Source organism: Homo sapiens, chromosome 15, assembly GCF_000001405.40.
Source record: "Homo sapiens chromosome 15, GRCh38.p14 Primary Assembly".
In the NCBI taxonomy this organism is placed as follows: Eukaryota; Metazoa; Chordata; class Mammalia; order Primates; family Hominidae; genus Homo; species Homo sapiens.
The window spans coordinates 33745330-33770539 of NC_000015.10; the positions used below are offsets into that span (position 1 = coordinate 33745330).

General features: G+C 43.3%; 1 protein-coding gene across 20 annotated transcripts in view, besides 1 other annotated feature; it reads left to right on the top strand.

Annotated features, from left to right (window-relative positions):
• RYR3 (ryanodine receptor 3) overlaps window positions 1-25210 on the top strand; it is a 555136-nt gene that overhangs the window by 434363 nt on the left and 95563 nt on the right. For 19 of the 20 annotated variants that reach the window (XR_001751370.2, NM_001036.6, XM_047432931.1 and 16 more), the window contains 10 exons: window positions 739-828; window positions 2785-2931; window positions 3139-3201; window positions 4650-4725; window positions 4834-4957; window positions 9736-9851; window positions 10977-11044; window positions 12146-12267; window positions 23329-23378; window positions 23783-23843. Coding sequence is in view for 18 of the 20 variants with exons in the window: in NM_001036.6 (NP_001027.3) it covers window positions 739-828; window positions 2785-2931; window positions 3139-3201; window positions 4650-4725; window positions 4834-4957; window positions 9736-9851; window positions 10977-11044; window positions 12146-12267; window positions 23329-23378; window positions 23783-23843 (917 nt within the window). In the remaining 2 variants the exon portion in view is untranslated. The remainder of the gene's footprint in view (window positions 1-738; window positions 829-2784; window positions 2932-3138; window positions 3202-4649; window positions 4726-4833; window positions 4958-9735; window positions 9852-10976; window positions 11045-12145; window positions 12268-23328; window positions 23379-23782; window positions 23844-25210) is intronic. The other variant, XR_001751371.3, reaches the window with a different exon arrangement.
• Window positions 13063-13725: an enhancer, noted in NCBI's record as "H3K27ac-H3K4me1 hESC enhancer chr15:34050593-34051255 (GRCh37/hg19 assembly coordinates)". NCBI's record gives its function as "activates a minimal SCP1, AML or CMV promoter by ChIP-STARR-seq in naive H9 embryonic stem cells {active_cell/tissue: H9 hESC(naive)}" and the evidence as "EXISTENCE:reporter gene assay evidence [ECO:0000049][PMID:30033119]".

Sequence of the window (25210 nt, forward strand, 5' to 3'; positions counted from 1 at the left end):
GCCTCTTCTCGGTGGTAACTGAAACCAAGGGCCTAAATTAGATCACCCAGGAAGTATATGTCTTGAGAAGGGACAGAAACTTAGGAAATATACACATTTAACAAATGGACAGGAGCAGAGATTGAGAAAGAGCAGCCAGGAGTCTTGGGGATGTGAAGTTACAGAAATCAGGGGCTCTTACTTATCTCTGTATCCACTGTGCCTCGGACAGAGTCTGGTGTGTACCATAGAAGACATTCACCCAATATTTGTTGAATAACCCTAAAAGTTCTTAAACTTCTGTGACTCTAGGAAGCACACATCACTACACTTTTGCTCTGGCACTGGCAGGCAAGGGTTGCAAGGCAAATGGCCCCTCTAGGCAGTGGCAATAGGTCCAGTCTTCCCAGGCCTTCCAGTCCTAGCCTCTGTTCTTCCTGCGAGGGGAGTACTCTAACCTGAGAAGCACCATTCCCAGGGCCTTTTGAAACATGCTGTTTTAAGAGGGCCTGAAATACAAGTGAGAAAGTGGAGAGGACAGCAACTGAAACAAGAAGGAATAAAAGAGCAGAGTTCAAGATTCAGGAGGCGGAGAGCCTGATGGCCTGAAAAGATCAATTAGGCATTTTTGAGGAGAATTTCTAAGCCCTGTCACTATCCATTACTCCACTTGCTCCATGAAAATAGAAGCAGGGATTTGGGTCACATAGCGGGGTTCTTTGCGTGCCAAGGATATTTGAACTGAGAACATTTCTACAGAGTCAGAGTGGATGGAAATATGGGATTTCCCTGGATGAAAATGTGAAGACCCACCCACTGATAAGGCCTTTCAAGACATTAACGGAGAAGGTAAGAAGCAGGCCTCTGGTAACACTGTGTGACCATGCTGTTTCCTTCCTTGAGTGATTTTATCAGAGGAGTTCAGAGCACATTCACTCTCACGTCCCTACAACATCATCATCTAGGACTCAGTAAACTGTTCACAAGCTTGCCAGTGGGCAAGTGCCTCAGGACCAGTTTCCGAGAGCCCAGCCTCACTTTCTGTTCTTTGGCTTTGAGAGGCCATTGGTGAAAGAAGCATTGTTCAGCACTTTGAGGCTGGGCCAAAATGCATTTGTAGTTCTGCAACTGAACTGAACCAGGAAGGGGTTTGGTTAGGGCGGGGCAGGGAGAAGGCACGGTGAAATTGCTGGAGAAAATTCAGACAAGGCCGGGTGTGGTGGCTCATGCCTGTAATCCTAGCACTTTGGGAGACCAAGGTGGGAGGATTGCTTGAGGTCAGGGCTTCAAGACCAGCCTGGCCAACATGGTGAAACCCCATCTCTACTGAAAATACAAAGATTAGCCAGGCAGGAGAATTGCTTGAAACCGGGAGGCAGAGGTTGCAGTGAGCCAAGATCACGCCACTGCACTCCAGCCTGGTGACAGAGCGAGACTCCATCTCAAAGAAAAGAAAAAGAAAAAATTCAGACAAAAATAATTTCTTTCTTTCTTCTTTTTTTTTTTTTTTTCTCTTTTGAGGCAGGGTCTCGTTCTGTCACTCAGTCTAGAGTGTAGTGGTGTGATCTCGGCTCACTGCAACCTCCACCTTCCGGGCTCAAGTGATCCTCCCACCTCAGCCTCCCAAGTAGCTGGAACTATAGGCATGCACCACCATGCCCAGCTAATGTTTGTAATTTTTTAGCAGAGACGGGGTTTCGCCATGTTGGCCAGGCTGGTCTTGAACCCCTGACCTCAAGCAATCCTCCCACCTCGGCCTCCCAAAGCACTGGAATTACAGGTGTGAACTACCATGCCCAGCCAAAAATGATTTCTAATACATGGAAGATACAGGTAATAGAGAAGAGAATCCTCAAGAAAATATGGTTAAGAGAATGCATCTCTTGCTTAAAAAAATTAATTAATTAACGTATTTGGTTTAACTCAACTCTGAATTCTTATCTTGCAATCTGTAAGATTCTTAGTAAGCTTTAGGCCTAGGCCTAGTGTCACATGTAAAGGCTGGTGTATGTATCTTTGCATTCATGTTGACTACCTATTAAATTGTACATAGACCAAAAGAGAAATCTTTTTTTTTTTTTTTTTGAGACGGAGTTTCACTGTTGTCACCCTTTTTTTTTTTTTTTTTTTTTTGAGACAGAGTTTCACTGTTGTCACCCAGGCTAGAGTGCTGTGGTGCAATCTTGGCTCAGTGCAAGCTTCATCTCCTGGCTTCAAGCAATTCTTTTGCCTTAGCCTCCCGAGTAGCTGGGACTACAGGCATGCACCACTACGCACAGCTAATTTTTGAGTTTTTAGTGGAGATGGGGTTTCACCATGTTGTCCAGCCTGGTGTCGAATTTCTGACCTCAGGTGATCCACCCGCCTCGGCCTCCCAAAGTGCTGGGATTACAGGCATGAGCCACCGTGCCCAGCCCACAAGAATTCTAAATCTAAGAAATTATCTTTCCCAAACTCACAGGAGAGCTTTATGCAGATGCATTTTGACAATCTTCAACAACTACTAGAACATGAGGAGCCACTCTCCCATTCCTGTTCTTCGTCTACAGAATGTAGATAATGTCATTAATAATGTCTGGCACATTTCCTCCCAGGGCAGGAAAGACCGTAGGGTCTTATATCTAAAAACACCAGAAAGACTGTGTTTCGGGTAAGATGCCACAAAGGATGTTTTGACCTTGTGAGAGAAGGCTGGTGCTAACTAGCACCCCCACCCACAGTGGGATGCACCTTCCATGCGGAGATGGGCCAGGGAGAATGCTGGGGTGTGTTCTGCAAAGTGCTTCTGCTCAAATTCTCTTCTAGGAGAAGGAAATTTATCGCTGGCCTGCGCGAGAGTCCCTGAAAACCATGCTGGCTGTGGGCTGGACTGTGGAGAGGACCAAAGAGGGAGAAGCTTTGGTTCAACAGCGGGAAAATGAGAAGCTTCGAAGTGTGTCCCAGGCCAACCAGGTATGACACCACACCCAGAGGCCCACGCTGGGCCGATGGAAGCCATGGAGAATCTGGGAATGTTCTGCCTGGGGCATCGTAGGTGGGACCATCTAAGATGAACCCTGGGGAGTTTTCAGGACACATTTTTGACAGCTGAAGTTGGGGATGCCTGATAAGAACAAGGAAAATAATGGCAACCCAGTGACTCTGCCTTTGCTTTCCTAGGGCAACAGCTACAGTCCTGCTCCCCTCGACCTCTCAAACGTTGTGCTCTCCAGAGAGCTCCAGGTCAGTGCCCCAGGTCCAGCATGACTTGCTTTCAAGTGCAGGACGCATTACCTTCCAAAGAGTTAAAGGGGGAAAAAAGGGAAAGAATGCCTAGAACATATCACCACTAAAATTCAAAACTGAAGACGGTCACCTTGTGCAGAGGCCACAGGGAAAGTCTCTGCAGAGTGAACCAATCCTCCAAGGGGAGGCTTTGCGCTTCTTCTAAGGACTTCATGATGGATGCTGACTCAGTAGGAAGCACCACCAGCGCACTAGAGTCATTCCTCAGCATCCATGAAAGCTTTACCCTAGGACTTCCCACAGATACCAAAACCCACGAACGCTCAAGTCCCTGATATAAAATGGCATAGTTTTACCTATAACCTACACACATCCCCCCATATACTTTAAATTATCTCTAGATTATTTATAATTCCTAACACAATGTGAATTCTATATAAATAGTTGTTATGCTGTATTGCTTAGAGAATAATGACAAGAAAAAAATCTGTACATGTTCAGTACAGACACATTTTTTTCCAAATATTTTCAAGCTACAATTGGTTGAATCCACAGATGCAGAACGCATGGTTAAGGAAGGCTGACTATACTGTATCAAAAACCAAAATAAATAAGACAGCTAGGACAAAATCTGTGAAATTTAGCACCTCAATGGAGGTGCTTGCTGGTCATTGTAAGGCCCCCAAAACATAAGGACAGCCCACACGTCCCACAGTGGGTTTGCTGGAGCTCCCTGTGATGGTGCAGGCAGGCAATCATTGCAGGATATAGGAATGTAAGACCAAGGGGTTGAAACTGAAAGCCCTAAGCTGCTTCCTCCCGTTGCTCCCCTCCTGTACACACTGGTGGCTGTGGCCTGCCCTAGCCTGGAGCACTCACCCTCTGGAAGTCCATCAGACCAGCCCCTTGGACCTTCGAGAAAGTTTCTTTCCAAAGTACATCCTTCATTCTAAGTCACTGTTTTACAAGCCTTACAAAGATGGATTCTACTAGAGAAATCTTATTTACAGCACTTTCCTTTAAGACGTGATTATTTTTAGTTTGTTAAGCTATAGGCTTTCGGGGGTTCTAGACTTTTCTTGGCCCGCACTCCCAACTCCCCGTCTGAGGTCAGGAGTACAATACCAAGCTGCTGTGAAAAATGATGTGCTGCCAGCATGCGGGTTCAAGTGGAAATGGATGTTTCTCATAAATGCATCAAACTGCCAGAATAATAAGTTACAAGGGAAGGACAGAGTTAGAAATTGTTTTCTATGTGTATGGGAGGATAGGAAACTAATGAGGTACATAAGCACACACTAATTAATGATGGGAAGCCCTTGGCCGTCTGCTGTTAGTGTTCAGTGGTGTGCTTTTCCCGAGGCTGCCTGAAATGACCTAGCAGCTATGAAGCCAGCTTGCCTGCTTTCTTTCTTTTTGACTTGGCTCTTCTTGGTGGGACACAGGGAATGGTGGAGGTCGTGGCTGAGAACTATCACAATATCTGGGCCAAGAAGAAGAAGCTGGAGCTGGAGAGCAAAGGTGAGTGAGGTTCACAGCATCCCCTAAAGAAGCTGAACCGGGGCAGCTATGGTCTCCCAGAAGTGCAAAGGAAGAGCCAAATGTCATCTCTCACCTTACTGACCCCAGGTGGTGGCAGCCACCCTCTTCTGGTACCATATGACACCTTGACTGCCAAGGAAAAGTTCAAGGACCGGGAGAAGGCACAGGACCTGTTTAAGTTCCTCCAAGTGAATGGCATCATAGTTTCCAGGTAAGTCACCTTCCATGTGATGCTAGTGGGACAGGGCTGTGCCTCCCTAGATATTTAATTACGTGCCTACAAAACCCATCCAAGTAAGGAGAACAATTGAGTCTTTTAAAATGAGAACATTTTTATTTTAGAACATGAAGCCCTCTTTTTTTGATATAAGCAGAAATGTTAGGTATTAATTTTTAAAGATCAGTGACAACAAAGAATTATTACAAATTATACCTACATACCTTAAACATTTCATTGTAACTTAAAATATATAAACATGCATTCATTCACAAACCTTGTGCTATGGGCTAAGGCCCTTTCTTTGTATATTCTCTTTATTGGAGTTATAAATGACATCCATAATACAACCTCAAAGCTTTGGAATTTGGGCTTCTTTAAAGAGTGGTGATAATTTGCAGCACATGATAACAGGGTAAATGCAGTACCCTAGATATTTTTTTATTATTATTTAAGTTCTGGAGTACATGTGCAGAACGTGCAGGTTTGTTACATAGGTATACACGTGCCATGGTGGTTTGCTGCACCCATTAACCTGTCATCTACATTTGGTATTTCTCCTAATGCTATCCCTCCCCTACCCCCACAACCCCCACAGGCCCTGGGGTGTGATGTTCCCCGCCCTGTGTCCATGTGTTCTCATTGTTCAACTCCCACTTACGAGTGAGAACATGTTTGCTTTTGGTTTTCTGTTTGGTTTTCAGTTCTTGTGTTAATTTGCTGAGAATGATGGTTTCCAGCATTATCTATGTCCCTGCAAAGGACATGAACTCATCCTTTTTTATGGCTGCATAGTATTCCATGGTGTATATGTGCCACATTTTCTTAATCCAGTCTATCATTAATGGGCATTTGGGTTGGTTCCAAGTCTTTGCTATTGTGAACAGTGCTGCAATAAACATACGTGTGCATGTGTCTTTATAGTAGAATAATTTATAATCCTTTGGGTATATACCCAGTAATGGGATTGCTGGGTTAAATGGTATTTCTAGTTCTAGATCCTTGAGAAATTGCCACACTGTCTTCCACAATGGTTGAACTAATTTACGCTCCCACCAACAGTGTAAAAGTATTCCTATATCTCCACATCCTCTCCAGCATCTGTTGTTTCCTGACTTTTTAATGATCGCCATTCTAACTGGCATGAGATGGTATCTCATTGTGGTTTCGATTTGCATTTCTCTAATGACCAGTGATGATGAGCTTTTTTTCGTATGCCAGTTGGCTGCATAAATGTCTTCTTTTGAAAAGTGTCTGTTCAAAGCCTTCACCCAGTTTTTGATGAGGTTTTTTTTTTTTTCTTGTAAATTTAAGTTCCTTGTAGATTCTGGATATTAGCCCTTTGTCAGACAGATAGATTGCAGAAATTTTCTCCAATTCTGTAGGTTGCCTGTTCACTCTGATGGTAGTTTCTTTTGCTATGCAGAAGCTCTTTAGTTTAATTAGACCCCATTTGTCAATTTTGGCTTTTGTTGCCATTGATTTTGGTGTTTTAGTCATGAAGTCTTTGCCCATTCCTATGTCCTGAATGATATTGCCTAGGTTTTCTTCTAGGGCTTTTATGGTTTTGGTCTTATGTTTAAGTCTTTAATCCATCTTGAGTTAGTTTTTGTATAAGGTGTAGAGAAGGGATCCAGTTTCAGCTTTCTGCGTAGGGCTAGCCAGTTTTCCCAGCACCATTTATTAAATAGGGAATCCTTTCCCCATTGCTTGTTTTTGTCAGGTTTGTCAAAGATCAGATAGTTGTAGATATGCGGCGTTATTTCTGAGGTCTCTGTTCTATTCCATCGGTCTATATCTCTGTTTTGGTACCAGTACCATGCTGTTTTTGTTACTGTAGCCTTGTAGTATAGTTTGAAGTCAGGTAGCGTGATGGCTCCAGCTTTGTTCTTTTTGCTTAGGATTGTCTTGGCTATGCGGGCTCTTTTTTTGTTCCATATGAAATTTAAAGTAGTTGTTTCTAATTCTGTGAAGAAAGACAATGGTAGCTTGATGGGAATAGCATTGAATCTATAAATGACTTTGGGCAGTATGGCCATTTTCTCAATATTGATTCTTCCTATTCATGAGCATAGAATGTTTTTCCATTTGTTTGTGTCCTCTCTTATTTCGTTGAGCATTGATTTGTAGTTCTCCTTGAAGACATCCTTCACATCCCTTGTAAGTTGTATTCCTAGTTATTTTATTCTCTTTGTAGCAATTGTGAATGGGAGTTCACTCGTGATTTGGCTCTCTGTTTGTCTTTTATTGGTGTATAGGAATGCTTGTGATTTTTGCACATTGATTTTGTATCCTGAGACTTTGCTGAAGTTGATTATCAACTTAAGGAGATTTGGGGCTGAGTTGATGAGGTTTTCTAAGTATACAATCATGTCATCTGCAAACAGAGACAATTTGACTTCCTCTTTTCCTAATTGAATACCCTTTATTTCTTTCTCTTGCCTGATTGCCCTGGCCAGAACGTCCAATAATATGTTGAATAGGAGTGGTGAGAGAGGGCATCCTTGTCTTGTGCCTGTTTTCAAAGGGAATGCTTCCCGTTTCTGCCCATTGGCTGTGGGTTTATCATAAATAGCTGTCATTTGATACCTTATTTGATATTGGCTGTGGGTTTGTCATAAATAGCTCTTATTATTTTGAGAGATGTTCCATCAATACCTAGTTTATTGAGAGTTTTTAGCATGAAGGATGTTAAATTTTATTGAAGGCCTTTTCTCCCTCTATTGAGATAATCATGTGGTTTTTGTCATTGGTTCTGTTTGTGTGATGGATTATGTAGTACCCTAGATATTTTTCAAATTTCCTCCCTTATCTTTGACAGTTTTCTCACCCATACCTAATTCAAAAATTACGTATTTGGAAGCCTGCAATTGCAGGTCTTTACAAAATATGCATCTTAGTTTTCATAGAGTCAGCAGTTCTCTTCATACTTTTATTTGTTGTTTTATATGATATCTTATTAAATTACATAGTAATAATAGCAAGCATAACTGACATAAGCAGTCTTGGAACAAAGGGAATTGATTATTATGAAGATACAACTCTACTGGAGAGATTGAATGCATCATGATGTCCTAAGATGTTTTATCTCAAACTTACATAAGTCAAAATCATCTAGGTGAATGTTTTATATAGGATGGCATTGGCTGCTTAAATCTTAAAGTCAGGCTGTTTTCTCCCTGGTCAAATGGTGCTGGTGGGCTGTGCTACGTAGGATCATGCTTGCTGAGTTCTTTGTCAAATGAAAAGCCGGTGTTTTTATTCCGATATAGCCATTCTTCCTAAAAGAAACATTTACTGAGCAAGCTGCTGTTTCTTCTAGTTTCCTATAGATTTTTTGCCATCGAATGGCAAAAATAAAAATAAAAATCTGTACAAACATTTCTATTGTATCTCATATGAAAAAAATAGCAAGACTTATTTGCCGTGTTGTCGAACAGGAAAGGTCAGACAGCAGGAGATAGCCTCCGGGGAAGCATTCGAGAAAGACTCCCGTCGTCATTTTAATCCTGTTCTTAACACCAAGATGAATCTGTGGTGTGATTTGCTGATAAATAACTTGCTCACAGCAATGAAAAATTCCCGTTTACTGTAATGATAAAGGAAGTCAAGGAAATAGGAGGAAATCAAGAAGAAAGATACAGGAGTTCAAGACCAGCCTGGTTAAGATGGTGAAACCCATCTCTACTAAAAATACAAAAAATTAGCCAGGAATGATGGTGCGTGCCTGTAATCCCAGCTACTCGGGAGGCTGAGGCAGAGAATTGCTTGAACCCAGAAGGCAGAGGTTGCAGTGAGCCGAGATCATGCCAATGCACTCCAATCTGGGCGACAGAGTGAGACTCCATCTCAAAAATAAAAATACCCAGAATTTGACCACTTCTCACCCACTTCATGCTATCCTCATCCTCCTGCCTGTGCTCCCTGCTTCTACACTTGACTCACCACCATGGTCAATTTTAAACACAGCAACCAGTGATCCTGTTATGATGCAAGTCATGTCATGTCACTTCTCTATTGAAAACTTCTAATAGCTTCCCTTCTCACTCAGAGCAAAAGCAAAATCCTAAGGATGGCCTGTAGGGACGTACATGATTGTCCCCACTTCCTACCCCACACTGCTTTAACCTTCAACGCAACATGCATGCTCCTGCCTCAGGACCTTTGCACTGTCTCTTCGCCCCACCTTAAGAACTATTTCCCCAGATGTCCATATGGCTCACCTCCTCATCTCCTTCAAGCCTTTATTGCAGCATCAGTCTCCCAGTGAGACCAACCCTGACTACCCTATTTAACACTACAGTCTGCAAACCCTGGCAGTTTTACCTTTAAAATATACCCAGAGGCTGGGCGCGGTGGCCGGCCTTTCTGGACCAGTTCTGGACCAGTCTGGACCTTTTCATTCTGCTTTAATTTTTCTTTTATTCACAAAATGTGTTAACTTCTAAGATTCCATCTAATTTATATTTTGTTTTTTCTGTTTACAGCTAGCATGTAAATTCTTTCCGTAAGAGCAGAGATTTTTGCTTTCCCCTCAGACATCTCTAGCTCAGTACTCATTGTATGAATGATAAAGGTCTTTCTGAAAAATCTGTGCTCACATAGGTAGGTTCCAAGTGAGAGGGGAAATCAGTCAAATGATGAGTCATGTCACTACGCCAGAATAACCACTAACATTTGGAAATTAAATTCAACACTGGTAGGACTGGTGGTGCACCTGAGTGACATGGTTGTCTCTGTTACTTCCTGGGGTCTGTCCATGTCCAACGTAGGGGTATGAAGGATATGGAGCTGGATGCCTCCTCCATGGAGAAGAGGTTTGCCTATAAGTTCTTGAAGAAGATCCTGAAATACGTTGATTCTGCTCAAGAATTTATTGCCCATTTAGGTAAGTATCATCATGAAATAACCCAAAAGAATTCAATATTCTTTTATCAAGAAATAATCCTTTCAGACTGTAACTTTTTATGATTCATTTAGGTGCATGATTTTAGGGGGAAAACAGTGGCTGAAATTTTTTTCCCCCAACTTAAAAAAAATCAATCCGGCCGGGCGCTGTGGCTCACACCTGTAATCCCAGCACTTTGGGAGGCCGAGGCGGGCGGATCATGAGGTCAAGAGATGGAGACCATCCTGGCCAACATGGTGAAATCCCATCTCTGCTAAAAATACAAAAAAAATTAGCTGAGTGTGGTGGTGCACGCCTGTAGTCCCAGCTACTTGGGAGGCTGAGGCAGGAGAATCACTTGAACCTGGGAGGCAGAGGTTGCAGTGAGATCGTGCCATTGCACTCCAGCCTGGGGACAGAGTAAGATTCTATCTCAAAACAAACAAACAAACAAACAAAAACTCCTTAGTTTTTATAGTGGACTTGATTGAACCTTTTGTCATTTTTTCGCACAACTTATCCTATTTTAACTTTCCTGTTGTCTTGCTTTATGACTGTGGACATATGACTCAACCTCTCTGAAACTGCTTTCTTTCTTTTTTTTCTGAGATGGAGTTTTGCTCTTGTTGCCCAGGCTGGAGTGCAGTGGCACAGTCTTGGCTCACAGCAGCCTCTGCCTCCCAGGTTCAAGCAATTCTCCTGCCTCAGCCTCCCAAGTAGCTGGAATTACAGGTGCCCACCACCACGCCTGCCTGGCTAATTTTTGTATTTTTAGTAGAGATGGGGTTTCACCATGTTGTCCAGGCTGGTGTCGAACTCCTGACCTCAAGTGATCCACCTGCTTCAGCTTCCCAAAGTGTTGGGATTACAGGTGTTAGCCATCGCGCCCAGCCTTGAAGCTGCTTTCTGATTGTTAAAGTAGAAAAAAGGGTAGTGAAACAGCTTAAAGAATTGACACAAGAAATAGCTAACCAGGACAGTTGTAAAGTACTTTGTAAGATATATTTTGTGAAATCAGATAGCCTTTTTAAATAGCCTTTAGAAAAGCTGCTCTGTTTCTAAAATGTTGTGACTGATTTTTACTTCGTAACTCTGGCCAACTTTGTGTTACCTGTGTCTTCGTAGAAGCCATTGTCAGCAGTGGGAAAACTGAAAAGTCTCCCCGTGACCAGGAGATCAAATTCTTTGCCAAAGTAAGTGGCCCTGCACTTAATCAAATTACTTTCTTCTTAGGATCTCTACTATTTAGGAAACAGGTTAAGTGGATCCAGTGAAGATATCTAAAACTCCAATGGCTTCAGTGAGGTACATGTATATTTCTCTGTCGTGTAACAGTCCCAAGGGAGGCTGGCAGTCCAAGGAGGGATGCAGTCTGCCTAGCCCCACACCATCACCTGGGAACCCAGGTTCTTCCTCTCTTGCTACTCCACCATCTCCGGAGGTGTGGCCTGTGTGCGTGGTTCAGACAGGCTCACCTGCACTGCATCTGTGGGAAAGGGAAAAGGAGAAGGGAAGGCAAGCTGTTGCTTTTTAAAAGTTCTATCCCAATGGCTAGAACTTGTCATCTTTCACCTTACTGACCCCAGGCAGTATGTCTGGGGTCAATAAGGTGAGAGATGACAGGTTTACCCTTATGGTACATATGGTACCCTCTTCTGGTACGATATGATACCTTGAATGCCAAGGAAAAGTTCAGGGACCGGGAGAAGGCACAGGACCTGTTTAAGTTCCATTTGAGCTTCATCCAGCTGCAAGGGAGACTGGGTGATACGTTTTCTGCCTGGGTGGCTCTCTATCCAGCTAAAACACAGTGGGATCCTGTTGCCAAAAGGAAGAAGGGGAGAATGAATTTGGGCTCAAGTTAGCAGTCTCTTCCATACAGCCCTGCTCAGAGGACTAAAGGCACAGAAGGGCTTGAGTCGCCTTGCTCTGAGAAGCAGACAGAATGCTTGAGGCTAGTGGCACTAAGCCATGCCTTGAGTGCCTCTTAGATGCAGCGCCCAAGAAGCCCTATCTGAGTGCAGCTGTCTCGTAGGACTCCTCTGCAAATGCGCACACATTTCTTTGGGCCCTTAGTCCATGGCTGTCTCCTTTCACATGCCCTTAAGGACTCTGGTTTGAGGCATAGAAAAGGAAAATACGATGGAAACTGGGACCAAAGGGGTAGAATTTCCTGGAAATTACAGGACCAGGGTTCAGAGGCTTTTTGCTCACTGAAAATAAACACTTTTAAATGAACCAAATGAAGAGTTTTGGATAGCTTCCTAGAAGTTGATTTCTGGTGCGTTTCCCAGGTTCTCCTCCCGCTGGTTGACCAGTACTTCACCAGTCATTGCCTCTACTTCTTGTCATCCCCTCTGAAGCCCCTTAGCAGCAGCGGATATGCCTCCCATAAGGAGAAAGAAATGGTGGCCGGGTGAGTCTACAAGATAAAGGGAAGGTGATGGTGCTGATGCAATTTACTTAAAATGCCAGGTCCCTGTGGACTAAAAGGCGAGTCTTTTGGAGAAATGAAACTGGATGATGTTTTGGTTTGTCATCTGAGTTTCGAAAGAAACTATATTCATACATATCTGAATTATTTCAGCAACCAATTGAGGTATACTGTGTGGGAGTACCCGTGGGGCTTGGGAAAGATGTATATAATTAAATCAACATCGGGACAGAGATTAAGATGGCCGAATAGGAACAGCTCTGGTCTGTAGCTCCCAGCGAGACCAACGCAGAAGGAGAGTGGTGTCTGCATTTCCAACTGAGGTACCCAGTTCATCTCATTGGGGCTGGTTAGACAGTGGGTGCAGCCCAAGGAGGGCGAGCCAAAGCAGGGTGGGGTGTTGCCTCACCCAGGAAGTGCAGGGGTTGGGGAACTCCCTCCCCTAGCCAAGGGAAGTCATGAGGGACTGTGCTGTGAGAAACGGTGCATTCTGGCCCAGATACTGTGCTCTTCCCATGGTCTTCACAACCTGCAGACCAGGAGATTCCCTCAGGTGCCTACCCCACCAGGGCCCTGGGTTTCAAGCACAAAACTGGGTGGCCGTTCGGGCAGACACTGAGCTAGCTGCAGAAGTTTTTTTTCCTACCCCAGTGGCACCTGGAATACCAGCGAGACAGAACTGTTCACACCCCTGGAAAGGAGGCTGAAGCCAGGAAGCCAAGTAGACTTGCTCAGCGGATCCCACACCCATGGAGCCCAACAAGTGAAGATCCACTGGCTTGAAATTCTTGCTGCCAGCCCAACGGTCTGAAGTCGACCTGGGACACTCGGGCTTGGTTGGGGGAGGGGTGTCTGCCATTACTGAGACTTGAGTAGGCCGTTTTCCCCTCACAGTATAAACAAAGCTGCCAGGAAGTTCGAACTGGGTGTGGAACGCACCACAGCACGGCAAAGCTGCTGTAGCCAGACTGCCTTTCTACATTCCTCCTCTCTGGGCAGGCCATCTCTGAAAGAAAGGAGGCAGCCCCAATCCGGATTGTAGACAAAACTCCCATATCCCTGGGACAGAGCACCTGGGGGAAGGGGCGGCTGTGGGCGCAGCTTTAGCAGACTTAAAAGTTCCTGCCTGCCGGCTCTGAACATAGCAGCGGATCTCCCAGCACAGCACTCAAGCTCTGCTAAGGGACAGACTGCCTCCTCAAGTGGGTCCCTGAGCCCCGTGCCTCCTGATGGGGAGAAACCTCCCAGCAGGGGTCGACAGACACCTCATAGAGGAGAGCTCCAGCTGGCATCTGTCAGGTTCCCCTCTGAGACAAAGCTTCCAGAGGAAGGAGAAAGCAGCAATCTTTGCTGTTCTGCAGCCTCCGCTGGTGATACCCAGGCAAACAGGGTCTGGAGTGGACCTCCAGCAAACTCCAGCAGACCTGCAGCAGAGGGACCTGACTGTTAGAAGGAAAACTAACAAACAGAAAGCAATAGCATCAACATCAACAAAAACGACACCCATGCAAAAGCTCCATCCAAAGGTCACCAACATCAAAGATCGAAGGTAGATAAATCCACGAAGATGGGGAAAACAGCACAAAAAGGCTAAAAAATTCCAAAAACCAGAATGTCTCTTCTCCTCCAAAGGATCACAACCCCTCACCAGCAAGGGAACAAAACTGGACAGAGAATGAGTTTGACAAATTGACAGAAGTAGGCTTCAGAAGATGGGTAATAACAAACTCCTCTGACCTAAAGGAGCATGTTCTCGCCCAATGCAAGGAATCTAAGAAACTTGATAAAAACTTAGAGGAATTGCTAACTAGAATAACCAGTTTAGGGAAGAACATAAATGACCTGATGGAGCTGAAAAACACAGCACAAGAACTTCATGAGGCATACACAAGTATCAATATCCAAATCAATCTAGCGGAAGAAAGGAAATCAGAGATTGAAGATCAACTAAATGAAATAAAGCATAAGGACAAGATTAGAGAAAAAAATGAAAAAGAACAAACAAAGCCTTCAAGAAATATGGGACTATGTGAAAAGACCAAACCTACGTTTGATTGGTGTACCTGAAAGTGACGGGGAGAATAGAACCAAGTTGGAAAACACTCTTCAGGATATTATCCAGCAGAACTCCCCTAACCTAACAAGACAGGCCAACATTCAAATTCAGGAAATACAGAGAACACCACAAAGATACTCCTTGAGAAGAGCAACCCCAAGGAAATCATCAGATTCACCAAGGTTGAAATGAAGGAAAAAATGTTAAGGGCAGCCAGAGAGAAAGGTAGGGTTACCCACAAAGGGAAGCCCATCAGACTAACAGTAGATCTCTCAGCAGAAACCCTATAAGCCAGAAGAGGGTGGGGCCAATATTCAACATTCTTAAGGGAATTTTCAACCCAGAATTTCATATCCAGCCAAACTAAGCTTCATAACTGAAGAAGAAATAAAATCCTTTACAGACAAGCAAATGCTGAGGGATTTTGTCACCACCAGGCCTGCCTTACAAGAGCTCCTGAAGGAAGCAGTAAATATGGAAAGGAAAAACCAGTACCAGCCACTGCAAAAACATACCAAAATGTAAAGACAATCGACACTATGAAGAAACTGCATCAACTAATGGGCAAAATAACCCGCTAGCATCATGACAGGATCAAATTCACAGAGAACAATGGTAACCTTAAATGCAAATGGGCGAAATGCCCCAATTAAAAGACACAGACAGGCAAATTGGATAGTCAAGACCCATCTCAAGTGCAAAGACACACATAGGCTCAAAATAAAGGGATGGAGAAATATTTACCAAGCAAATGGAAAGCAAAAAAAAGCAGGGATTACAATCCTAGTCTCTGATAAAACAGACTTTAAACCAACAAAGATCAAAAAAGACAAAGAAGGGCATTACATAATGGTAAAGGGATCAATTCAACAAGAAGAGCTAACTATCCTAAATATATGTGCACTAAATACAGGAGCACCCAGACTCATAAAGCAAGTCCTTAGAGACCTACAAACAGACTTAGACTCCCACACAATAATAGTGGGAGACTTTAAAACCCCACTGTCAATATTAGATCAACGAGACAGAAAATTAACAAGGATATGCAGGACATGAACTCAGCTCTGGATCAAGCGGACTTAATAGACATCTACAGAACTCTCCACCCCAAATCAACAGAATATACATTCTTCTCAGCACCACATGCACCTATTCTAAAATTGACCACATAATTGGAAGTAAAGCACTCCTCAGCAAATGTAAAAGAACAGAAATCACAACAAACTGTCTCTCAGACCACAGTGCAATCAAACTAGAACTCAGGATTAAGAAACTCACTCAAAACTGCACAAGAACATGGAAACCAAACAACCTACTCCTCAATGACTACTGGGTAAATAATGAAATTAAGGCAGAAATGAATAAGTTTTTTGAAACCAATGAGAACAAAGACACAATGTACCAGAATCTCTGGGACACCAGCCAAAGCAATGTTTAGAGGGAAATTTATAATACCAAATGCCCACAGGAGAAAGCAGGAAAGATCTAAAATTGACACCCTAACATCACAACTAAAAGAAATACTGGAGAAGCAAGAGCACACAAATTCAAAAGCTAGCAGAAGACAAGAAATAACTAAGATCAGAGCAGAAATGAAGGAGATAGAGACACGAAAAACCCTTAAAAAAATCAGTGAATCCAGGAGCTGTTTTTTTGAAAAGATTAACAAAATAGACCACTAGCCAGACTAATAAAGAAGAAAAGAGAGAAGAATCAAATAGACACAATAAAAAATGATAAAGGGGATATCACCACTGATCCCACAGAAATACAAACTACCGTTAGAGAATACTACAAACACATCTATGCAAATAAGCTAGAAAAATCTAGAATAAATGGATAAATTCCTGGACACCACATACACCCTCCCAAGACTAAACCAGGAAGAAGTCGAATCCCTGAATAGACCAATAACAAGTTCTGAAATTGAGGCAGTAACTAATAGCCTACCAACCAAAAAAGGCCCAGAACCAGACAGATTCACAGCCTAATTCTGCCAGAGGTACAAAGAGGAGCTGGTACCATTTCTTCTGAAACTATTCCAAACAACAGAAAAAGAGGGACTCCTCCCTAACTCATTTTATGAGGCCAGCATTATTCTGGTACCAAAACCTGGCAGAGACACATACACACACAAAAGAAAATTTCAGGCCAATATTCCTGATGAACATCGATGCGAAAATCCTCAATAAAATACGGGCAAACCAAATCCAGCAGCACATCAAAAAGCTTATCCAACACAATCAAGTCGACTTTATCCCTGGGATCCAAGGCTGGTTCAACATACAGAAATCAACAAACATAATCCATCACATAAACAGAACCAATGACAAAAACCACATGATTATCTCAATAGACTCAGAAAAGGCCTTCGATAAAATTCAACACCCCTTCATGCTAAAAACACTCAATAAACTAGGTGTTGATGGAAAATATCTCAAAATAATAGCTATTTATGACAAACCCACAGCCAATATCATACTGAATGGGCAAAAGCTGGAAGCATTCCCTTAGAAAACCGGCACTGTACAGGGATGCCCTCTCTCACCACTCCTATTCAACATAGTATTGGAAGTTCTGGCCAGGGCAATCAGGCAAGAGAAAGAAATAAAGCGTATTCAAATTGGAAGAGAGAAAGGCAAATCATCTCTGTTTGCAGATGACATGATCCTATACTTAAGAAATGCCATCGACTCAGCCCAAAAACCCCTTAAGCTGATAAGCAACTTAAGCAAAGTCTCAGGATACAAAATCAATGTGAAAAAATTACAGGCATTCCTATACACCAATAATAAACAAAACAGAGAGCCAAATCATGAGTGAACTCCCATTGGCAATTGCATTTATTCTCACAAAGAGCATAAAATACGTAGGAATACAACTTACAAGGGATATGAAGGACCTCTTCAAGGAGAACTATAAACCACTGCCCAAGAAAATAAGAGAGGACACAAACGAATGGAAAAACATTCCATGCTCATGGATAGGAAGAATCAATATCCTGAAAATAGCCATACTGCCCAAAGTAATTTGTAGATTCAATTTTATTCCCATCAAGCTACCATTGTCTTTCTTCACAGAACTAGAAAAAAACTACTTTAAATTTCATATGGAACCAAAAAAGAACCCACATTGCCAAGACAATCCTAAGGAAAAAGAACTAAGCTGGAGGCATCACGCTACCTGACTTCACACTATGCTACAAGGCTACAGTAACCAAAACAGCATGGTGCTGGTACCAAAACAGAGATATAGACCAATGGAACAGAACACAGGCCTCAGAAATAACACCACACATCTACCGCCATCTGACCTTTGACAAACCTGACAAAAACAAGCAATGGGGAAAGGATTCTCTACTTAATAAATGGTGTTGAGAAAACTGGCTATCCATATGCAGAAAACTAAAAGTGGACCCCTTCCTTACACCTTATACAGAAATTAGCTCAAGATGGATTAAAGACTTAAACATAAGACCTAAAACCGTAAAAAGCCTAGAAGAAAACCTAGGCAATACCATTCAGGACATAGGCATGGGCAAAGACTTCATGACTAAAACATCAAAAGCAATGGCAACAAAAGCCATAATTGACAAATGGGGTCTAATTAAACCAAAGAGCTTCTGCACAGCAAAAGAAACTACCATCAGAGTGAACAGGCAACCTACAGAATGGGAGAAAATTTTTGCAATCTATCTGTCTGACAAAGGGCTAATATCCAGAATCTACAAGGAACTTAAATAAATTTACAAAAAAAAAACAACCCCATCAAAAACGGGGGTGAAGGATATGAACAGACACTTTTCAAAAGAAGACATTTATGCGGCCAACAAACATATGAAAAAAGCTCATCATCACTGGTCATTAGAGACATGCAAATCAAAGCCACAATGAGATACCATCTCACGCCAGTTAGAATGGTGATGATTAAAAAGTCGGGAGGGCAGCCACAGTGGCTCATGCCTGTAAACCCAGCACTTTGGGGAGCCCAAGGCAGGCAGATCACGAGGTCAGGATTTTGAGACCAGCCTGGCCAACATGGTGAAACCCCGTCTCTACTAAAGATACAAAAAATTAGCCAGGCATGGTGGCACACGCCTGTAATCCCAGCTTCTTGGGAGGCTGAAGCAGGACAATCGCTTGAATCCAGGAGGTGGAGGTTGCAGTGAGCCATGATTGCACCATTGCACTCCAGCCTGAGTGACAGAGCGAGACTTCATCTCAAAAAAAAAAAAAAAAAAAAAAAATCAGGAAACAACAGATGCTGGAGAGAGGATGTGGAGAAATAGGAATGCTTTTACACTGTTGGTGGGAGTGTAAATTAGTTCAACCATTGTGGAATACAGTGTGGCGATTCTTCAAGGATCTAGAACCAGAAATGCCATTTGACCCAGCAATCCCATTACTGGGTATATACCCAAAGGATTATAAATTATTCTAATATAAAGACATGCCCGTGTACGTTTATTGCAGCACTGTTCACAATAGCAAAGACTTGGAACCAACCCAGATGCCCATCAGTGATAGACTGGATAAAGAAGATGTGGCACATATATACCATGGAATCCTATGCAGCCATAAAAAAGAATGAGTTCATGTCCTTTGCAGAGACATGGATGAAGCTGAAAACACTCATTCTCAGCAAACTAACACAGGAACAGAAAACCAAGTACCACATGTTCTCACTCATAAGTGGGAGTTGAACAATGAGAACACATAGACACAGAGAGGGGAACATCACACACCGGGGCCTGTCAGGAGGTGGGGGCCAAGGGGAGGGATAGCATTAGGAGAAATACCTAATGTAGATGACAGGTTGATGGGTGCAGCAAACTACCATGGCGCGTGTATACCTATGTAACAGAACTGCACGTTCTGCACATGTGTCCCAGAACTTAAACCATAATTAAAAAAAAAAAAAAATGAGCATCTGTCCTGTGACAACATTGAGAAGAAGGCAAAGATCATTCTGAAGCTTGGGGAAAGTGAACACGTAACACTGTGAATAAACAGGTGGACACTGCTTTCCATCCCATGCTTATCAAACTCTATAAGATTAAAACTTATAAAAAGACTCAGATCGACTGGACACGGTGGCTCATGCCTGTAATCCAGCACTTTGGGAGGCCAGGGCAGGCGGATCACAAGGTCAAGAGTTTGAGACTAGCCTGACTAACATGGTGAAACCCCATCTCTACTAAAAATGCAAAAATTAGCTGGGCGTGAAGCCACGTGCCTGTAATCCCAGCTATTCAGGAGGCTGAGGCAGGAGAATCGCTTGAACTTGGGAGGCAGAGGTTGCAGCGAGCCAAGATCATGCCACTGCACTCCAGCCTGGGCAACAGAGCAAGACTTCGTCTCAAAAAAAAAAAAAAAAAAAAGACATCATACAAGTCCTGATGTGAGTGAGCTGAAATTTGTAGTCTAAAACAACATAATTCAATTTAAATTCCTAATAGGAAAAAAATTTTTCATCAAAAGCACCAGGCTTCCTACTCATTCCACTAGGTTAACATGTAGATACATTAACAGAAATGAGAAAAGAGGGGATAGGTCATGATTGGGCTAAAAGATGGATTCTACTGTGCCTCAGGTTCTCTCTGTATTTTATTAAAGAAATACAGGAATGGACTAGACTTTTAAGTAGCAAAAAGCTAAGACCCTAATGAAAATAGTTAGGAGGCCAGGCGCGGTGGCTCACACCTGTAATCCCAGCACTTTGGGAGGCCAAGGCAGGCGGATCATCTGAGGTCAGGAGTTCGAGACCAGCCTGGCTAACATGATAAAACCCCGTCTCTACTAAAAATACAAAAGTTAGCCGGGCATGGTAGCACACACCTGTAGTCCCAGCTACTCAGGAGGCTGAGGCAGGAGAATCACTTGAACCCAGGAGGCGGAGGTTGCAGTGAGCCGAGATGGCACCACTGCACTCCAGCCTCGCCAATAGAGTGAGACTCCGTCTCAAAAAAAAAAAAAAAAAAAAAAAGAAAATAGTCTAAATAGTCTAAAAACGCTTTCCCTAGCATCCAGTGAACAGTGTACATTATAGGGCCCAGCCATTAAATATCACCATCTTGGGGAGGATATTCAACTTTGAGATTTAGCTAACTTTTATGAAACACTTAGCATTGAGCACAGTTTTTTATATATAAGAGTTATTGCCCATTTGTGTAAAAATCTCTGTGAAACATCATGATGTTTTAAATTCTGAGAACTGCCTGTGTAGTATGATCTCCATTTTCCAGATGAAGAAATTGAATTTCAGTTGGGTTAACTCTACTACCCAAAGTGACTCTTCTGAGTTAGGACAAGAATAAAAATGCAGTCCTGGCTGAGTGCGGTGGCTCACGCTTGTAATCCCAGCATTTGGGGAGGCTGAGGTGGGTGGATCACTTGAGGTCAGGAGTTTGAGACCAGCCTGGCCAACATGGCAAAACCCTGTCTCTACTAAAAAAACAAAAAAAATAGCTGGGCGTGGTGGCACGCACCTGTAGTCCCAGCTACTCTGGAGGCTGAGGCAGGAGAATCGCTTGAACCCAGGAGACGGAGGTTGCAGTGAGCCGAGATGGCACCACTATACTCCAGCCTGGACAAGACAGTGAGTCTCCACCTCAAAAAGAAAAAAAAAAAAAGAAAAAAAGAAAAACCAGTCCTCTGTATCCACGTGAAGTATGATTTATCCTGCACCCTAATTACTTACTCTAAGTTAAGACAGGAGACGCCCCATGCTATCAAAATGAGATACTCTTAAAATCAGGTGCTGACCGAAGACCTCCTAAACATTTGCAGGATGCACCAGTGTGTTTTGTAAGAAGCTAGGGAAACAGTGAGTAAAGTGAGATATTCAGATAATCCAACAGAGGGCAGGTGTGTCTGTTTTCTTTATCTACTTTTCTTAGATTATTAATTCATGGAAATGTAACATTTGTTCAACCAGGCACCATTTGTCACGGCTGGAATACAACCTAGAGCCGATCAGCCTTGCAAATAGCTTTCAAATCCATCAGTGTGCTTGCTGCCCTCCCACAGAAGCAGTCGTGTTTGCACTGAATGTGTCTGCATTGCCAGATTTCTCTTCTTTGCAATCTTCGCCCTTGCGCCACCTTTTCTGCATCTGCAGCCCTTTGCCCGTGGGTCTCAGACTCTCCCTGAGATTCCTTTCATTTATTGTCTTCAAACTCTGAGATGGAGGAGAGGCACTTGGGGACTCGGGGCCCTCATAACTCTGGGCTAAAGACGGTGCTTCCAGTTAAATCCCAGGTTCCATAGGGAACAAGCAGTAGCCTTTGGAAATTTCAGATCCTGGCCTTGGCATGCCTAAGAAAGCACTTCTGACAATGAGATTAGCCATGTTAGTATGAGGATCAAACAACCCAAATATCTGCCTTTGTTAGAAAAACATTGTTTTGTGTTTACACAGAACATGTGTCCAACTTGAAGCATTTTCACCAGAAATACCTGAGTTTACCTGCCCCTAACTCTGAAACCCGAGTCCTATGATGACTCTCTACAGTGAGAAAGTTACCACACAGAGCAGTTAAGGGGCTTCCCCAAGACAGCCCAGCTAATCACAGAGGAACAGAGCCCACATTCCACAGGGTTAGCCCCTCGCTTCAGCTCCATGAGTTTGCATCAACTACCCGTCTCTGAAAAAAAAACCATGGGAAGAAAAAAAGAGCAGCCGATATTTAATTTCACCCTAGATGGCTGCCACGTTTCTGGTAACTTATTGTGTGTTCTCTTAAGCTATAGGCCAGGGGGTCCCAACTCTTTTCCACTGCAAGACCAATTAACTAGCCATGGGAACTTTTGTTGTGATTTTCCAGTAGACAGTCCAAAAAGACTCAGGGCATTTATTGAAAACATTTAAAGGTGAGCAGGTTTTCATCCCCATCAACACTCAGGATATATTCCTTCCCCATTTGAGTTGTCCTATGGAAGACTTCTGCCCTGAATGGGGTAAGGAGCTCCGTGATGAGTTATGAATCAGAAACTGGGAATGTGTCACCAGGGGACCCCGTGGCCTATCCAGGTGGCTTTTTTCTCTCTTCTTTTTTCCCTCTTTCTATTCCACTGCTTTCTGAAGCAACTGCAAAGTTCTTGTCTAGCCATGCCAGTGTCAGTAATGTCAGTTCTGAGCAATCTCTTCCCAAGAGCCTCAGCAACACAGGTCAAATGATGGCCACAGTGCCCCTAGGTGAGGTCCATTAGCAGCATGTTCAGAAACAGCGATGGACTCCTTTCTGACATCACAAGGCCCTCATTAGGCACTGTGGAAAGTCAAACAATGAGGCACAGCTGAACCTTCAGTGGTTCCACAGTGGAAAATATGGGTGAAAGCATAAAGGAGAGTCAAAAAACACAAAAATATACAACATGGGCCTTTCCTAGTTTCCAAGGACCCAGTTAGAACAGTGACCTGGTCAGGCCTGGAGACTAACTGGAGATGACAGAGAATACACAATTCTTAAAACGTTTTTGTTTAACACAATCTCACCTTGTACCTGAACCATTAACACTTTTCCAATCCCAGCTTCTTGCCAACCTCCCAACTAAAACTTCATACCCTCAATGGAAGGCTACAAAATGGTTTGCAATCCATTGCAACAAGGGGAAAATCATGCTTTTTTCCGGAGTCTTCATTTATCCCTGAATGTCACACAAATGAACGTTTCAGTACATGGTACTCTATAGCAAAGTATACTTTGCACTGGGTCACTGCAAAATACTATAACTGTTTCAGAGGGATTGTGTTTAATAAAGATGGAGCTGCCTGCAAGGTACCTTTCATGATTCTCCAAGGCAGTGTGAACCACACATGTTCCTGAGTGTGGACCAGAGGATTCTTTGCTAGGAACATAGTGCATCTCCCTAGAATGCCACTCTGTGCTCTCTGTTTCACAGTGTAAGGGACATTGGGGTGGGGGATACAAAGCGTGAGTCCTTTAATCTCTGTGACTTTCTGAATTGCTTTCTTTTCTGCTTCAGCCTGTTCTGCAAACTTGCCGCTCTCGTTAGACACAGAATTTCCCTCTTTGGTAAGTGAAGTGTTGCTCAAGGTACCGCTCCTCCCTGTAATTATCTTGAACTTGCACTTTGCCTTTATTTGTGTCTTCCTCAGACAACCCGGGCCTTGGGACTAAGGTGTCACCTAAATTTGCCATAGAAAATTGATCTGAAGCATGATAAATGACCTCTTTACCCTTTTAACTGCTCAGATTTTCCACACCAATGAAAATTTTAAGCTCTACCTCTGACATCCATCATAAAGCAAGGCTGTGTCAGGCTAGAAATTAATGCATTGTCGCTGAACACAGGCCCAGGACTTTATGTGTTGGTAGTTAATTACGCTGGGGCTGTGGCTTGTGCATATGGAGAAGACTGCATTTGAAAGACAGGCTGAGTGGTTTGAGGGAATCACAGATGATTTTTTTTATTCCAGGTAGTGATTCTACTACAATGGTGAGCTGTCTTCACATCTTAGCTCAGACACTTGACACAAGGTAAGTCTGCCCAGTTTTTCCCAATAGTTTCTCATGACTTCCTCTCTGACCCTCTCATCTCACTAATTATACTGAAGAGAAGACAGATCGCTGCTGCCAGGCTTTGAGAAGAGAGGAGAGACAGGGCAAAGACCCTAGAAGTTAGCACTCTCTTTTTCTCAGTTCACATAACGAGAGCCACTGCCATGGCATAGACGGAATGCAAAGGCCTGATCAATTCTTATCTTTCCTTCCTAAGAAGTTTGTCTTTCAGAAGATAAAATATATAATGTGGCAAACCCCACTGGTGGGTGGTGAATCTACAAATGTTATGGGAAAGATGAACCACAGCGCTCTGAATTCAAAATGGCCAAGGAAGGAAATGCACAGAGATCTGGCTTCAAAAGAATCAGAGACAAAGACGTTGATGCCATGGCCTAGGGATTTGGGAAGAAGTCTTAAAAAATAATACATAAGTTCTGGTAATAACACAAATGATGAGACTGAAAAGAGAGACGCAGGCCAGGCGCGGTGGCTCATGCCTATAATCCCAGCACTTTGGGAGGCCGAGGCAGGCAGATCGCTTGAGCTCAACAGTTCAAGACCAGCCTGGGCAACATGGTGAAACATCTACAGAAAATACAAAAACTAGCCAGGCATGGTGGTGCATGCCTGTAGTCCCAACTACTCGGGTGGCTGAGGTGGGAGGATGGCTTGAGCCCAGGAGGTGGAGGTTGCAGTGAGCTGAGATCACGCCACTACACTCCAGCCTGGATGACAGAGCCAGACCCTGTCTTAAAAAATATATATAAATAAGAGAGAAGCAGTGGAAAGAACTGACAGGGACCTTTCTTTAACATGCCCATTAAGAAGGGTCCTTGTCAGAGCCGGGCACCATGATTTCTGCCTATAGTCGAAGCTACTCAGGAGTTCAAGACCAGCCTGAATAATGTAGAGAGACCTCATCTTTAAAAAAAAAAAAAGAAAGAAACGTCTTTATCAAAATTGGGAGGAGGACACACCTCCTAAGACCCAATGCAAAAGAGGTTACCAACCTAAAAGAGTGGGACACTAAAAGAGCGTCCCAAAGATGAAAATCCACAATGAACTGAGAATGGCTATAAAAAAGGAGGAGAATAAGGACTATTAAAGGGATGAGAAATCTTTACTCCAAGAAACTTGGGAAAAGTCTTGAGAGAGTCCAGTTTTTTGTTTGTTTGTTTTATTTTGTTTTGTTTTGTTTTAAATGAAGGTCAGTTGCAGGTTGGTGTGTTTAGTAATTATTCCTGACAAAACCTGGGACTAGAAAGTTAGGAAGGGCCAGATGCAGTGGCTCACGCCTGTAATCCCAGCACTTTGGGAGGCAGAGGTGGGTGGATTGCTTGAGG